At 44.8% G+C, this 17,350-nt stretch overlaps 2 protein-coding genes across 2 annotated transcripts in view, besides 1 other annotated feature; one reads left to right on the top strand and one right to left on the bottom strand.

Moving 5' to 3' along the window:
• SSPN (sarcospan) overlaps window positions 1-12,801 on the bottom strand; it is a 112,787-nt gene extending 99,986 nt beyond the window's left edge. The window contains exon 1 of the mRNA XM_011520853.4: window positions 12,640-12,801. The gene's annotated coding sequence lies outside the window, so the exon portion shown is untranslated. The remainder of the gene's footprint in view (window positions 1-12,639) is intronic.
• Window positions 8,174-8,343: a silencer, noted in NCBI's record as "silent region_4301". NCBI's record gives its function as "represses an Ori minimal core promoter by ATAC-STARR-seq in GM12878 lymphoblastoid cells {active_cell/tissue: GM12878}" and the evidence as "EXISTENCE:reporter gene assay evidence [ECO:0000049][PMID:35858748]".
• On the top strand, window positions 9,755-14,762 carry BHLHE41 (basic helix-loop-helix family member e41). The gene is made up of 5 exons (NM_030762.3): window positions 9,755-10,074; window positions 10,210-10,273; window positions 10,613-10,720; window positions 11,051-11,162; window positions 11,624-14,762. The coding sequence occupies exons 1-5, from the start codon at window positions 10,013-10,015 to the stop codon at window positions 12,724-12,726; spliced, it is 1,449 nt and encodes a 482-aa protein (NP_110389.1). The 5' UTR covers window positions 9,755-10,012; the 3' UTR covers window positions 12,727-14,762.

Here is a 17,350-nt window from a genome sequence, read left to right as displayed (position 1 = left end):
AGTACTCTAAGTATAGTGAGGGTGTCCCTGCCCATAAAAGCCACACCAATATAGGAAAGTCCTAGTGGGGGATGGGAGGGTGGGAACCAACATTATATTCCCCACCCTCAACAGGTACAAGGACACTTCAAATGTTATGTGGCTTGGTTATGACTTGTCATTCAAGTGTTTTCCTGGAACAAAGCCAACTTCAGTGTATAGATGATTTGGTGGAGCACATTTAGGAATCATTCAGAAGAGTTGTGTGTCTGTTCTGTGCTCAACACTGTCCTAGACACTGGGGATACAGCAGTAAACAATTCAGGTGTCTGTCTTCATGGAGCTTACAAACTAGTGGGGAAGACAGATGCTGAAAAGTCATATGAGTCTTTCAGTCAGCAGAAGTTATGAAAGACAGGCACAAAGGGAGCTGATAGAAGGAGACAAATCTGGTCCAGGAACTCAGAGAAGGCTTCTTGGAGACAGTGATGTTTCAGATGACACCCGAAGGTTGAGTAGGAGGAAGAGAAGGGAAAGACATTGGGGAAGTGGGAACAAAACATTCTAATCAATCAAAACAGTGTGAGTGAAGGACCTGAGACAGCAAGAGCAGGGTACATTAAAAAATATTTTTTGAAAGAAAGCTGGTATGCTGGATTCTAGAAAGGGGGGCAGAGAAATGAGTGATGAGACTGAGATGTAGGCAAGAACTAAGTCATATTCAGGCCACTGAAGAGTTTCAAGTTTGATTTTAACTTAATGGAAATAGGAAGCTATTAAAGAGTTTTGATCAAGAGAATGACACGAACAGAAAAATTGCTCTGGCTATAACTTAGTGATTGAATTCAGTGTGGTGGAGGGGGATAGAAGGCATACACAGTGGATACAAGTGTGAGATACCTGATGCCAACTCAGCACCAGCTCCACTGCCTTCTCCACTCTGTCCTCATTGCATAATAAAAACTTGGAACCACATTTTTCCAGAATCCCCTCCCCACCTCTTTCTAACTTAGATTCTGCCTTTGAGAGGCCCTTGTGCAAGATGTGGAAAGTGGCAGAGACACACCATATTTCTCCCCTGGCAGCTGTGTGCAGATGTGAGGTTTACAGTAGCTTCTGGACAAGCTCCTGCAAGTCAGCCTCTTCCACATGGCAGGCAGCTGAGCTCAATGGGATTCAGGTTTCCCTGAACCAATTGTCAAGATTTTCTGGAAGTCAGTAACAGTTTTTCCCAAAACTGATAATCCCAGCCTTTCCAAAGTTTATGATTATGCCTTTAATCTCCTCTGTCAAATTCCTCCTACTTGAAATATCTAGGGTGGTTTTTATCTTCCTTACTAGACCCTAACTGTTAAAAGCAGGGAAGAAGCTCTTGCAACATTTGGGGTGAGAGATTATGGGGGCCTGGTCTGGAGTGTGGGCAGTTAGGATGAAAGGGGGATGGAGTTACAGATATTTAAGAGGTGGAATTCTCAGATATTGTTATTAATTGGATGGGGGAGTGAGGGAGATGAAGGGGTTGAGAATGATCACCGCATTCTTCGTTTAAAGGTCAGGCTGTCTTGCTAAATTTGCCATCCAGTCCCTGCACCTGAAAGTGATGTAGACATTAAGCTGACCAAATTCGCCAGCCCTGTCAGGTCCCTTTCCAGGTTGAACTGCTGAGGTCAAAGAGCTGAGGGAGTCAAGTATATGATGATGAGGAAGTTGTCCTTTTCAGGATGTGAAAATCTATGTGTTGGAGGTTATGGGTCATTGTAATGAGTTATATTCTTGTATGAAACCATTCCAGCCTTCTCTGGAACAAAGGAAATTAGCTAAGTCTAACCCTGTCCTAATCTCCCCCTAAAAGAAACCTGCTAGGGCAATGACCAAGCAACTGGGGTCAGGGTGAGGGCTGAGGGGCTGGGGATGAGAAGAAGCTTCCTAACAGACACTACAGAAGATGTGGAACACCAAGGAGTAGACCAAGTTACAATCCAGAGCAAAGTTAGCTTCAAACACCAAAGAGAGAAAGTTTAAACACTAAGCCATGAGAAGATCATACTTGTCAAGGGAGGTGGGAGAATCCCAGGGGAGGGTGGAGAGCCGAACAGGAGCCATACAGTGAAATTGTATATGCTTGGAAGGGGTGGGTGTTGAACAGGCATCCCCACCATCAGGGAGCTAGGGCAAATTGGGGAGGTAGATATAATGAAGGCCTAGATGGCTCAGGAAAGCAAGGGAGAAAGCATTTTCTTTGCTAGTGGCCTTTACAGGACAAGCCTTACCCACAGACCAAGGCCACTGACTACATTTTCTGGAATGATTTCTAACGTGCAATACTAGAGAAGTAGAGCTGTTTAAGTGTATCTCAAATGTACCAAAAAGCAGGCTTTTTTGGAACATAAAATGGCTTTAGGATAATTATTCCACTTTCTTAGTGATCTTTTCTCTTAAGAGAAATTTAATCCATTAAATTGTAAACTTATTGAAGACAACGTTCACTACTGAATCCCTAAAACCCATCACAGTGCACAGTTCATATAAGCACAGTAAATATTCATTCAGTGGATGAGGATTGGATAGGAGATCCCAAGATGCTAGACACAGGGCAGCTTTATTCAGTGAGCTAACCACACCCTTACCCTTGTGTCTGTCTGTAGGGAAATACATGCAAAATTCCCATTCAAACATCAGAAATTCCAAGTCAGCTAGAATGGGGTTAAGAATTTCCCCTCCTACCATCTTCCTCATCTCTCAACAACTCCTCTAAACATCAACCCTCTGGCAGGGGCTCCCATGACCTGAAGCAGAGCTTCACCAAGGAAGGTGAAATGCTTGGATAGGAGATCCTCTCAGGGGCTGAGGGGAGAAGGTAATTAACTGTTAAAACTCAAGACTCTTGCCAGTGACACCCTGGAGCACACCTAGGTCCCTATTGCCTGGCTTTGCCATTACTACATGACAACAGACAAGTTACCTAAGGTCTCTGAGCCTGAGTTTGTTCATCTGTAAGGTAGAGTTGATGGTGCCTAGTTCTAAGAATTGAGAGCACTGGACATTGTTTATAAGACACCTGCCTTAATACCTGTCCATAGTAAAATGCTCCAAAGATAGATTCTCTTCCAGCATTCACCTCCCAATCCCAGCCTTAGAAATTAGTCCCTCTTCTCCCATTGCACTGCACTCACTTACCTCTTCTTTCCTCCCTCATTTATTCCAGAACCCAACTGGATAGCATAGCCCTCCCACAATCTTCTGACCCTAAAGCAATTGTATGCTACATAAGTGTGGCTAGAAGTGAATGAAGTGCAAAATCCTAGATGCATTCAAGGAACTATCAGAGAATGCCTTTCTCCTGGAAGCTGCTCTCTTCAAGCCAACTGCCAGAGGCAGAAGGCACAGCTGCAGGGACAGGACAACCACAGGACAGGTCTGCTACGTAAAAAGACAGACAATCATTTCCAAGAAAACATGCAGCTGAAATTTGCATTCTACAGGAAGAAGAGCAAACTCTATTAAATTTCCTCCCTAAGGAGATTTCTACAATTATTAGAACTTAAAAATACAGACGTTAAGGACCATGTGCTTAAGGAGTTAGTTAAGTTTGTGCAATTGCAGACAGGAAGATTGACATTTTTCTGAAATTGGAATTAAATACCCTAATACAATAAAATGATGCTGCCAACTCATATGGCATAATAGAGGGGAAGAGACTCACTGATGAAAAAAGAAGAGGACGTGGACAAGCCATTTCCTTTTAGTCACATCACTGCAGAGATGGCTAGTGCCAACCCAGTATCTAGTCTCCACTTCCCCTTTACTAAAAGAACCCCTATATTGCTGTGGAGCCTCAGCTTTGAAAACTACATTTGTAACCTCTTGTAATGGGATTGGACAATGAGATGGGTGGAGCTTGCAAAAAAAAAAAAGCTCCTTAAGAGACCTTGCTCAGTTGGCAGGCACCCTTTCATCCTTCCCTGCAGGAGTTCCTGCAGCCATCTTCTGACCATGGGGTGATCTTGCAGATAGACGCTGGTGGAGAGTGGAAAAGCAGAAGTGTGGGACACTGATGGCACTTTTACCACTTCACGTTACCCCTGGACTGCTTACCTTCAGACTTCTTTTATGTGACCAAAAAAGAACTTCCTAATTTCAGTTGCTGTTATTTTGGCTGAAATGCAGACCTTAACTAATATACACAGCCTGGATTTCAGTCAGTTTCCTTACTAATGATGATTATAAGTTAATACCAGAACCATAGTACTTGTTGGGTAATTGTTATATATGATTTTTCGCTTTAGCTATTAAATAAAAAGTTTTATACCAATAGTTTTGATTGTAAGTCTGGATTTAACCCTCCTTAGCTAGTTTTCTGTTGTTGTTTTTTTAAAGTAGGAGTACCTTTGAAGTCAGAAGAAATATCTGTTACTGACAACTCTCTGCACCAGGAGGACACCATCTGACAATTGATGTAAGGACCGTATGAAGCCCATAGTGGGTGGGTGAGAGAAGTGGACATTTAGTGCATCTTATTTATATTTGAATGTGCTTCACATTGCATAAACATGTTTTTCTTGGAAGATTTTTCCAAGAATTTTCATCAGCAGTAACAAAGGAAACACAGACATTAAAAGGCCCCTCTTCCTGCAGACTTCCACCATCCAACTAGTCCAGACTCCAGAGAAATGGTAGAGAACACTTTGTGAAAGTCCTTAATGGGGTTGTCATCTCCTCCTCATGCTACTTTTCCGGTCTCATTATGGATCCACCTCAATCAGTATGAGAAGCACATGGGCACCATGAGGGACCAGGCAGATACGTAGGGGCAGAAGGGCCAGGGAATCCTCCTATTGTGGTCTTTGGGCTTGGCTCTCTCCTAGTTGTCTTTTGTATGTTAAGAACTCCAGGAATTTTGAGCACACGTGAAATGCAGAACAGCCTGCATGAATGGTTTTGATCATCACATAAATATGAAAATACAAATGATTTCAGCAGAAATAAAATTTATTTCTAATACTCAATATTATCTGCTCCTTGAAGCTATGCAAAGACTAATAAGTGCATAAACTTCTTGAGCAGTGTTACATAAATGTAAAACATGGTTCATAGGTATGTTTATGGCTACAGACACATTAATTGATAGTCTTCAGAAAGACTTAAGGTCCTTTACAAATTAAACGGGGACACGTGTGCTGTTTCTGCTCATTTGCTGAGTATGCAACTGGAAAACCCAATCTTCTATTCTGGCATTTAAAATCCGGTACTTTCAGCAAATAACATCATCAATATTTTAAAGTCATACTGGCTTCTGGTGAGTAGCAGTGGAATTGCCGTCCCTCCTTAAATCCTTCTCTGAGGCACCCTTCTTTCTGTGGTGTGCCTGACAACATTAACTCTTCTCCCTTGAGAGTAGGTGTGCATGCCAAGAGCCGAAATTCCTAGGGAAGCTTTTGTAAGTCCAGATCCCACCCCGCTATCCCCTCCAGGCCTTGATTTTAGCATCAACCCAAAACTTTTTTAGATTGTTTTGGACTCTGCTTAACTTTGATGTAAAACGTCTGCAGATTCTTGTCCGCTCTGTAAAACAGAGGTGATCAAGAATGGCTTCTGCCCTTCAGATGGGCCATTTTCACAGTATCACAGGCAGGAGACTCTACGCCCCTAAGCAGATTTTGGGGCCATCAGAGATGTACAGTTAGTTTGGATCACACTTGGGTTCCTAAAACACCCTGGAGTTAATTCTCCAGAAGGGCAGTAGGGCTTGCAGAACCCTAAAGAGGCAGAAAACCTCTATTCCCCATGGAAACTTTAATCCTTTCAGGCAAGTTCTGTTTCTGTTGGAAATCCAAGACTTTGCAAACAGGATAAGGCCTTCTAAAGTCACAGGGTGAATATAATGAGTGCAGGACTTAGGATATTTAGGCAGGGGGGAGAATTGGCCTAAGTATTTCCTTTCATTAGTGTCTCTATAGGTAATGATTTCCTTACTTAACCAAAGAAAAGCAATGGAAGCAGCTACCCCTCGCCTATTAAAAGGAGAAAGATGGATATCTTTAATTGAAAGCAAAGCATCACAAAATTCTTTAATTATAAGCTCAAAGGGGCTTTGAGCTCATCTTGTATCTTCTTGGCTTTCAGCAGGATAGCATTAAGCTTTCCTAAAAAGATAAGACTCAACCTATTTTAAAACATATCCAAAGATGGCATTCTAGTTTCTGTTCCTTTGTTAGCGTACTTTTTTTCCCTTTCTAACCTCACCACAGGTGAACTTTTCCTATTACTAACCTGAAGTCTTCACATTAGAGCTTGGCTCAGTTTGCTCAGCAGAGCTGGTGAACAGCTGGTCACCATCAGCCTTTTCTAAACTGTACTTCCATCTGTCCATCTGTACAAAATTATAAGAGTTAATTAGGATATTTGGATTTAAATCAATAAATTTGAAGCTAGATGCCAACTGAATGACTCACTGACATGGCAAAAGACTGCCTCTCTTCTTGCCATAGCTTTTCTTATCTCTGTCATCAGCTCCAATGCTAACACCTCTCCCTTTTCCATCTCTCTTGCAAAACTCCCCACACAATTTCATTCACACACACACACAAATGTGCACACTTATACTGGTAAATAGAAAAACATCCCTGAAGCAGCTAGTTAACACTTATACCTTACCACTCACTATTCACATTGAGGTGTAAGAGTCGTCCAGGGTCCAGACTCTCGAACCCACTGTCTGGGCTTAAATCCTGGCTCTGGGACCTTGGAAATATTTTGCAATCTCACTTTGTAAGCATTTTCTCATCTGTAGAATGGAAACAATAATAGTATCTACCTTAGAGGGTTGTGGAAATGATTAATGACTTAATACATAAAAAGCTCTTTGAATGCAGTCTGGTACTCTAATCTTAAAGGCTATATAGTTGTTAGCTATTGTTACACCCTTCTTGCGCAAAGGGATATTCAGAGGCATCAAACTATGCCCAATATTCCAGAAGCCAAGAGTTTGAGAAAGAACAGGAATGGGATTCAAGTTTAAGGGAAGTGGGTAACCAAGAAGAGTCACCAGGGTGAAAGATCAAAGAAAAAAAAGGGCAAAAAGCAAACAGGAGATTGACAGAACTACAGAGAAATGGCAAAAGCTGGCATTTAACAGGGAAAAGGTAGACAGAGAACATAAGGGAAAGGAAGATAAAGAAGAAATGAAAAAGGGAAACATGAGTTAAAAGGTGAATATGTAAAGGAAAGACAGAAAAGAAGAGGAAAAGGGGATCAAGAACAACAAAGGAGATAAAAATTGGGAAAAGACCCCATTTGCAGTTTGAGTAGGTATCACGGGAAAAGGGTACGGAAGTGGGGAAGCTTGGGGCAGAAAGGATGGGGGGAGAGAGGAGCCTCAAAGAGATAACAGAAAAAAGCTTCATGTGTCATTTGCAGCTTTTTGTCCCTTTAAATTATGGGGTGCTGCAAGCTTATTTAACCCACCTTTGAGCCTCAAGGCTCCTGATCGTGTTCCTCCTATTTCAACTTGCATTTAATCTCTGCCCCAGACTTAGCTTCTAAGGTTTGCCCTGGTCAGATGTCTGCCTTGTGTTTTTAGCCCGACGAGGCCAAAATGCAATGATCTTGTCTTTATTTCATTTTCCCTAACCAGTCATCCTTTTCAAGTGAAATTTAGCTCTGGAGCAAATATTTACATCCCCTTTCTACTCCAAACATTCAGAAATCTAGAAGGGGACCTGGTGTTTTAATTTTTAAATTATTCACCTAACGGCATTCCCATTTTTAGTCAATTAAAAAGAGGTAAAAATGATACAGTACTGCAGGAATAGGTCGCTTTTAGGGCTCCAACGTGCCCTCCCCATCGAAGGGTCTTAATTACCTAACCTTTTGGAAATAGGAGAGAGGTCGGACCGAGATTTAAAATAAAGTCAGCATTTTAAAAATACTTTTTAAATTAAGAACCATCGTGATTAAATTGCCTGTTTGGTGCAAAATACGTTCCTCTATTTGAGGAAGTCGAGAGACCTTAAAAGGCCCTCTAAACAGATGAACTGAACGGACCGCGAGCGTCTCCTCACGCCGGGGTGATCCTGGGCCGCCGCCGCCGCCCGAGTCACGAAGCCAGACGCAGTGCGCGTCTCCGCCCAGGACTCCGGAGACTGCAGCAGCGCGAGCGGCCGCCGCGGCCCGGGCTGCTCCTGGAGTCGGGGAGGAGACGCGACTCCCGCAGACACGTGACCTCCTCCCAGCCGCCGCTTCCCGCGACCCAGATCCGTCCCCGGAACCCGTGCCCGGCGGGGCGGGCCGGGGGACACGTAGCGGGCGCCCCAGTCCCTGCTGCGCCCTGGTGCATGTACCTTTGGCGTTCTTCTCCCCTCGGTTCACTTATCACCGGCAATAATCAACGTTTCAGAGATCACCCCGGGGAGAATGTAAATATCCCTCTCTGTGCAGGAAAAACCTTGGTTTTTTTCTCTATGTCTTTATGTATATCTAGAGAAATATATATATAGCCTCCATCCCACCCCTGGGAGTCCCTCAGGACATGCCTTCCCCTGGGCTGGCAGGGCGGCGTGGGCAGTGCGCATCCCCGGGCACCTCCCGGTAACTCTCACTAGCAGTGAGTCATGCTCCCAGGGTGGCTCTGGGGAAAGGTAACCCGGCTCTTGCTGGCCTGTGATTCCCGGCGCCGAGCGCCGCGGCTGCAGGGCGAGCGCGCGCGCGCACGGGTTCCCCGAGCAGTGATGTGGCAGCAGCGGCAGGTCGGATCACGTTGCTGGCCCTGTGCTGGTACCCGTTTGAGACCGGATTAAGGAGGGAGGCTTTGGAGGTGCCAGCGGTAGTAAACGTGGGCTCTGCACACTCCGGGCGTCTCTTATCGCGCGGGGGGGCGGGGGGATGGGGAAAGCACGTAGCGTCACCGGAGGCTCAGAACGCGGCAGAGTTGAGCGGGCGGGTGATAAATGCTGCATAGCTTTTCTGTGGTAGCCCCTCTCGTGCCACCCCCTCTCGTGCCACCCCCTTCTCCCTTCCCAGCCCCCACTCAACCCCGGCTCGCTCCCCGCCGCGTTCCTCCAGGAGCACACGCGGCCCCAAACGTCGTCATCTGCTGCTGTGATTAGTGGCACCGCAATTCCGGCTGCTGCGGGGAAGTTTAGTTGGCCCAGGGACGCCGTGTCACCGAAAGACACTTGGATTGCGACATTCGGACCCAGTGACAACGTTTTCATGTATCTTAAATCCTTCAAGGAGCGGATTGCAAGTTGCTTCTTCTCGAGGCAACCTCTCCACCCAGCGCCAAGGAGTCCCTCCAGGCCACTGATCAGTGAGCAAACAAGTCTCCAAAATTTCCTTTGGGACTCAAGTTTACCCACCGCGAATTCTCTTTTCACTTCCTTTCTATGGTTCAAACCAACAGCACAATCGGTGGAAAAGCAAAAAGCCACGTTCACATTCCTGCACCGTAACAACGGACGAACCCAGGGAGTCGCATTTTGGAGCCAAGGAAGCTCAGGCTGCCCCGCACCCCTGCACCCCCACTCCCCCCTCCTCCTGCCGACTGCATCGCCTTTGGGAAGATGAATAGCTTGGCCGAAGTTGTTTTTCCTTTCCGGTGGCCCTGATCAGGTGTCCCCGCCCCCTCCTGCCGTTCGCCTTCTCTCGCCGCCTTCTCCCGACGCCCCCGCCCGGCCCGGCCCCTCCTCCCCCGCCCCCCTCCGGGCTGGACCGCGGATGGTACGTTCCGCACGTGAGCTGGGTGCTGGTCTGGCCGGCGACGCGCGTGCCCTGTGGCCAAACACTGCCTGGAGTGAGAGCAAACTACCAGCGCAGTGGGGCCGGCGCGAGTGTGCGTGTGTGTGCGTGTGTGTGTGCGAGCGCGGTGGAGGGGGGGGACCAACTGCTTCACACTTTCAACACTGCACTGAAGAGGGAGAGCGAGAGAGAGACTGGAGACGCACAGATCCCCCCAAGGTCTCCCAAGCCTACCGTCCCACAGATTATTGTACAGAGCCCCAAAAATCGAAACAGAGGAAACGAACAGCAGTTGAACATGGACGAAGGAATTCCTCATTTGCAAGAGAGACAGTTACTGGAACATAGAGATTTTATAGGGTAAGGTGCACGCACCCTTGCGAATATCTGTCTAGGCTTTGGTTTGATTTTTTTCTTCTCCAGAAAGTGGTATGGAGCTGGCGAGGGCAGAGCCCCTCCCCGAATGGGTGCCTGATGCTGATTTCTGTTTTGCAGACTGGACTATTCCTCTTTGTATATGTGTAAACCCAAAAGGAGCATGAAACGAGACGACACCAAGGTAAGTGTAAGTTCCCGATATTCCTCATAACCTGCATGGGTAGTTAATTAGAGCCATTGATTTCACAGTGAAGCTCTGCCCGCAAATATATTCCAGCCCCTGAGCTTCCCCAACTGTGAATTTTAAGTGGCTTGCTGGGTACTCTCAGGGGGATATTAAACATCATACCTGAATTTAAATTGCATTGCAGAACAGTCCAGAGGAAAGAGGTTTCTTGGGTGTAGTTTATCACATAGTATGTTTTATGGTGGGGGGGCGGGGGGGGCAGACGAGGGTAATATCCAATAAGTGAATGTTTCGCTTACTGTTTTCTCTTTTCCATGACTCTCATATATTAAGGATACCTACAAATTACCGCACAGATTAATAGAAAAGAAAAGAAGAGACCGAATTAATGAATGCATTGCTCAGCTGAAAGATTTACTGCCTGAACATCTGAAATTGACAGTAAGATGCACATTTTCATTCTTTGCTGCTCTCCAAGGGCGTGTTAATAGTCTGGTGCGACTCCCAGAAAATATAAGAATAAATGTAAATATAAGTTCCTGACTTAAAACTTGTGCTATACCGTACAGAGTTTCCCGCAAACTGGAGTAGGTGCTCCCAGCTGAAGGCAAGAAATCATTTATAACCTGTCTTGTGGAAAGCTCAAGAAGTAAAAGAACAGTACTTCTTTCAAAGTGTTTGCTTAAATTGCTGTGCTGAATGGACAGCCAATTAAGCCAAATGTGTGTTTTTAAGTAACCAAGTGCCCGTTTCTTTTTTGCACCACTGCAGACTCTGGGACATCTGGAGAAAGCTGTAGTCTTGGAATTAACTTTGAAACACTTAAAAGCTTTAACCGCCTTAACCGAGCAACAGCATCAGAAGATAATTGCTTTACAGAATGGTAAGTCAGTTCAGGGAGGCCAGCCTACCCTGATGAAGCGGGGCAGCCCACAGGGGAGCAGTGTCAGGACTCCCTCACCCGCACCCCATCTCTTTCCGTGGGCTCATGGGTTCCCTCTCATTTGTTAAATTGCTTATACTTTCCCTTCATTGGAACGAGCCCATTTCCCGAAGCATCCTAGAGGCTTTCAGCAGAACTCGGAGGAATCAGGATTTAAAGTGGCGGTTGCACCCGCTCCACTTTGGTTTTCAGCTGGGAGGAGAGCGCCCTCTCCCCGCTCCGCACCTCCGCCACCCCGCTTCTCTCGTCAACTGGTGGATTATATCACTTGAATACTGGGGAAAAACCGAGATCACTTTAGTCGATGCAGGGCCCACGTGATAAGCAGATGTTTTAACGTGGGTATGTTTCTTCTTGCCTCCACTCCTCCGTCCCCCACCCCCATCCCTTCCTCATCCTAGGGGAGCGATCTCTGAAATCGCCCATTCAGTCCGACTTGGATGCGTTCCACTCGGGATTTCAAACATGCGCCAAAGAAGTCTTGCAATACCTCTCCCGGTTTGAGAGCTGGACACCCAGGGAGCCGCGGTGTGTCCAGCTGATCAACCACTTGCACGCCGTGGCCACCCAGTTCTTGCCCACCCCGCAGCTGTTGACTCAACAGGTCCCTCTGAGCAAAGGCACCGGCGCTCCCTCGGCCGCCGGGTCCGCGGCCGCCCCCTGCCTGGAGCGCGCGGGGCAGAAGCTGGAGCCCCTCGCCTACTGCGTGCCCGTCATCCAGCGGACTCAGCCCAGCGCCGAGCTCGCCGCCGAGAACGACACGGACACCGACAGCGGCTACGGCGGCGAAGCCGAGGCCCGGCCGGACCGCGAGAAAGGCAAAGGCGCGGGGGCGAGCCGCGTCACCATCAAGCAGGAGCCTCCCGGGGAGGACTCGCCGGCGCCCAAGAGGATGAAGCTGGATTCCCGCGGCGGCGGCAGCGGCGGCGGCCCGGGGGGCGGCGCGGCGGCGGCGGCAGCCGCGCTTCTGGGGCCCGACCCTGCCGCCGCGGCCGCGCTGCTGAGACCCGACGCCGCCCTGCTCAGCTCGCTGGTGGCGTTCGGCGGAGGCGGAGGCGCGCCCTTCCCGCAGCCCGCGGCCGCCGCGGCCCCCTTCTGCCTGCCCTTCTGCTTCCTCTCGCCTTCTGCAGCTGCCGCCTACGTGCAGCCCTTCCTGGACAAGAGCGGCCTGGAGAAGTATCTGTACCCGGCGGCGGCTGCCGCCCCGTTCCCGCTGCTATACCCCGGCATCCCCGCCCCGGCGGCAGCCGCGGCAGCCGCCGCCGCCGCTGCCGCCGCCGCCGCCGCGTTCCCCTGCCTGTCCTCGGTGTTGTCGCCCCCTCCCGAGAAGGCGGGCGCCGCCGCCGCGACCCTCCTGCCGCACGAGGTGGCGCCCCTTGGGGCGCCGCACCCCCAGCACCCGCACGGCCGCACCCACCTGCCCTTCGCCGGGCCCCGCGAGCCGGGGAACCCGGAGAGCTCTGCTCAGGAAGATCCCTCGCAGCCAGGAAAGGAAGCTCCCTGAATCCTTGCGTCCCGAAGGACGGAGGTTCAAGCAGAGTGAGAAGTTAAAATACCCTTAAGGAGGTTCAAGCAGAGTGAGAAGTTAAAATACCCTTAAGGTCTTTAAGGGAGGAAGTGTAATAGATGCACGACAGGCATAAACAAGAACAACAAAACAGGTGTTATGTGTACATTCGGAGTTCCTGTTTTGCTCATCCCGCACCACCCCACCCTCCACACACTAACATCCCTTTCTTCCCCCCACCAGCTGTAAAAGATCCTATGCGAAAGACACTGGCTCTTTTTTTTAATCCCCCAAATAAATTTTGCCCCCTTTTAGGCCATGTTCCATTATCTCTTAAAATTGGAACCTAATTCGAGAGGAAGTAAGAAGGGTCTGTTCTGTGGCTGAGCTAGGTGAACCCCGGGGTAGGGGAAAGATGTTAACACCTTTGACGTCTTTGGAGTTGACATGGAACAGCAGGTAGTTGTTATGTAGAGCTAGTTCTCAAAGCTGCCCTGCCTGTTTTAGGAGGCGTTCCACAAACAGATTGAGGCTCTTTTAGAATTGAATTTACTCTTCAGTATTTTCTAATGTTCAGCTTTCTAAAAGGCATATATTTTTCAAAGAAGTGAGGATGCAGTTTCTCACGTTGCAACCTATTCTGAAGTGGTTTAAATGGTATCTCTTAGTAACTTGCACTCGTTAAAGAAACACGGAGCTGGGCCATCGTCAGAACTAAGTCAGGGAAGGAGATGGATGAGAAGGCCAGAATCATTCCTAGTACATTTGCTAACACTTTATTGAGAAATTGACCATGAATTAATGGACTCATCTTAATTTCTTCTAAGTCCATATATAGATAGATATCTATCTGTACAGATTTCTATTTATCCATAGATAGGTATCTATACATACACATCTCAAGTGCATCTATTCCCACTCTCATTAATCCATCATGTTCCTAAATTTTTGTAATCTTACTGTAAAAAAAAGTGCACTGAACTTCAAAACAAAACAAAAAACAACAACAACAAAAAACAAGTCCAAACTGATATATCCTATATTCTGTTAAAATTCAAAAGTGAACGAAAGCATTTAACTGGCCAGTTTTGATTGCAAATGCTGTAAAGATATAGAATGAAGTCCTGTGAGGCCTTCCTATCTCCAAGTCTATGTATTTTCTGGAGACCAAACCAGATACCAGATAATCACAAAGAAAGCTTTTTTAATAAGGCTTAAACCAAGACCTTGTCTAGATATTTTTAGTTTGTTGCCAAGGTAGCACTGTGAGAAATCTCACTTGGATGTTATGTAAGGGGTGAGACACAACAGTCTGACTATGAGTGAGGAAAATATCTGGGTCTTTTCGTCAGTTTGGTGCATTTGCTGCTGCTGTTGCTACTGTTTGCCTCAAACGCTGTGTTTAAACAACGTTAAACTCTTAGCCTACAAGGTGGCTCTTATGTACATAGTTGTTAATACATCCAATTAATGATGTCTGACATGCTATTTTTGTAGGGAGAAAATATGTGCTAATGATATTTTGAGTTAAAATATCTTTTGGGGAGGATTTGCTGAAAAGTTGCACTTTTGTTACAATGCTTATGCTTGGTACAAGCTTATGCTGTCTTAAATTATTTTAAAAAAATAAATACTGTCTGTGAGAAACCAGCTGGTTTAGAAAAGTTTAGTATGTGACGATAAACTAGAAATTACCTTTATATTCTAGTATTTTCAGCACTCCATAAATTCTATTACCTAAATATTGCCACACTATTTTGTGATTTAAAAATTCTTACTAAGGAATAAAAACTTTAATATACGATATGATATTGTCTAATAATTAAAAAAGACATAATGGATGCTCAATTAGTTTTAAGATATCTATAACTATAGGGATACAAATCACTACAGTTCTCAGATTTACAGCTTTTTTTTGTCATTGGCTTGATGTCACACATTTCCAATCTCTTGCAAGCCTCCAGGCTCTGGCTTTGTCTACCTGCTCGTTCCCAATGTATCTTAATGAAAAGTGCAAAAGAAAAACCTACCAATTAACTTGTGTGGTTTGTTTATGTTAGACCCAATTTTCTATTGTTTTAATGATTGACAAGTTTTTCAGTTTTCGTCTGTGACATCACATAGCCTCTCTAGTATGGTCAGGTGTTCCTCTTTCACTGGGTCTTGTATAAATAGATGATCACAAAGGGGTGCTTAATATGAGAGTGTTTTGGCTTCTTTTTATAAAATAATTCTGTCATGGGACTTTATCATGGAATTCCAGGATCAGAAATAATTTCTAGACTTTTCTCAAATTTCCATTCAAATCTGTGATATGATACAAACAGTGAAGGATTGTCAGCTTTTAGTTTCAGGAATGTTCTTCACAAACCCCTTGATTTTTGAAAATGTTTAAATGAGAGTCAGATTGTATAAGATGTAGAAAAAGTGCTCCCTCTGCTGACTTTATGGCAACTGAACTGCAAGTCATAACAGTATGAAGCCAGAAGGAGCCACAGCTCATCCAGTCCCCTGCATTTCGTGATAGGAAAAAAAGAAAGGAAGCCCAGAGATATTAAGTATCTTCCCAAGGTCACAGAGCTACCTAGAGTCAGCACTAGCACTAGTGGCCAGCTCTATTATATCCCTCAGTCACTCAACTACTTCCCATTGCAGTATCTTGGACCAAGTAAGCTGAACTTGATTGAGCAGCCCCCATGAAGCTTCGTAACAAACCATAGAACAAAGGAAATTGAAATCAACACTAGAAAACTATGTAGGATTTTTCAGCATTGTTAATTTATTGAACTTTAGAAAAATTATCTGAATCAGAATAATGGGAAAAACAGCATTTCAAATATTTTGAGCTATATTTTGATGCCACTACTGTAGTAATATTAGTTTCATAACCAAAAAGGATTAAAAGTGAATCAGAGGATAATACAGTGTTTTTAGCATGTGTATAATTTTGGTATAATGAGATAAAAAAATCTTCAGAGTTGGGCCAGATTTTACAAGTCAGTTATTTAGTCCAAGTGCCCATATGGTAACATGGTAAGATAAAGTTAGAACAGAAATGCAAAAATAATATTGTCTATATTGTATCTGAAAATCTGAAAAAACTTTATTTTAGTCATTGATTTATTTTAATGAATTAAAAGGCTGAAGTCATAATTCACTAAAGAGGCTTCTATACTTGTAGTGGTGAAATTTCAGCTAAAATGATTTTCCAACTTCAGGCAAATATGAATCTTGAGTCAATGTTTTTATGAGTATAGTATTATACTCATAAAAATTTAATTTTACATACATATATTTTACATAATCTTTAAAAAGATTAATTTTATATAACACATTTCTTAGCAAACTTTATATTGAATTGAAAAAAAATGGCCCTTCCCTCCCCTCCAAAGAGCTAACCTTAAGCACGTTTTCAAGGCACTAGAAACAACACTTTAATAGCTATGTAAAATTTGGAGTTTTAGTTCCTATCATTGTGAAACTATTTTTCATTTAGTTCCCTGTTTCTGGCCATCCAGGCGATGACTTTGGTTATTGCCCACCACCCGAGATTTGTTCAAAAGTTATGTAAAAGGAGGCTCAGCCTACTCCTTTCTATGTCACAGGTCAATTCTTAACCTTTCCATGGAAAGTGATTGCCAGTGGAGCCTCTGGAGAGACATGGCTGGGCAAACACACGAAGGACTTTTACATTAGCTAGAAATGAACAGAGCTCTCATGAATGACTTAAGACCATTATATTGCCAAAAGCTGGCTGTACTGTTGTGATCATGGTATTTTACTTCAGGTAGCAACCTGATATTTTTCATTAAACAAAAATTCTTAACCTATTGGACCCTCAGCTCAATATATTTAGACCCACCCATTGTTCTCACTGTTATTTTAAACAAGTTCAAGATGGATTTACAGTGCATGCTAAAGTCCCATGGAAGTTCTAGTTTTTCATAGAAGAATTTAAGTAAGGGATTGACGTGGGAAATTATCACATATTTTGTGTGATTAAGATGGGATTTATACTAGAAAACATGCGCAGCATGTACTTTAAAAATATGCTATTCTAGGAGTTGTACGTTTGTCTTAAAATCGGGTTTCTTATGCTCGTTCAGAGATTCCATATTGAAAACTCCAAACAAATATAAAACCACCTTTTTTAAATGTTGATATTTTAAAATTCTAAATTCAGTGATGCCTAGTTTGTCCGACAGGAGGGACAGTCAGTGGTTTAGAAAACTAAAACTTCTATGTTCAAATGCCAGTGCTGTTTTTCATTTTTGAATTTTTAGTGGAAAGCATACTAAAATGTATTACACATATCCTCTAAATGTCTTAACCTGGACATACTTAACCTTTCTCAATAATTCAGGGTCATCATTGTAAACATCATTTTTGCACTATGCATGACATCTGGGAGTAATTGCACCTGCACCAAATTTTTTTTTGAGTTCTACCTGCTTTTTATAGGGTTTTTCAGTCTCTTTACGCACAGCTAGCCTGTCAGCTGTCACTTCTTGAAGCCTCAGAGTGCTTCCTCCATCTCTTATCTAATTTGCTACCTCTGACTTACTGTGGGCTGGGAAACCATTTAAACACTACCACGCCCATTTGAAATGTGCTAAAATTA

This window comes from Homo sapiens, chromosome 12 (assembly GCF_000001405.40).
Source record: "Homo sapiens chromosome 12, GRCh38.p14 Primary Assembly".
Taxonomy (NCBI): domain Eukaryota; kingdom Metazoa; phylum Chordata; class Mammalia; order Primates; family Hominidae; genus Homo; species Homo sapiens.
The sequence above is the reverse complement of the archived record's forward strand: the minus strand, read 5'-3'. Positions and strand labels throughout refer to the sequence as shown.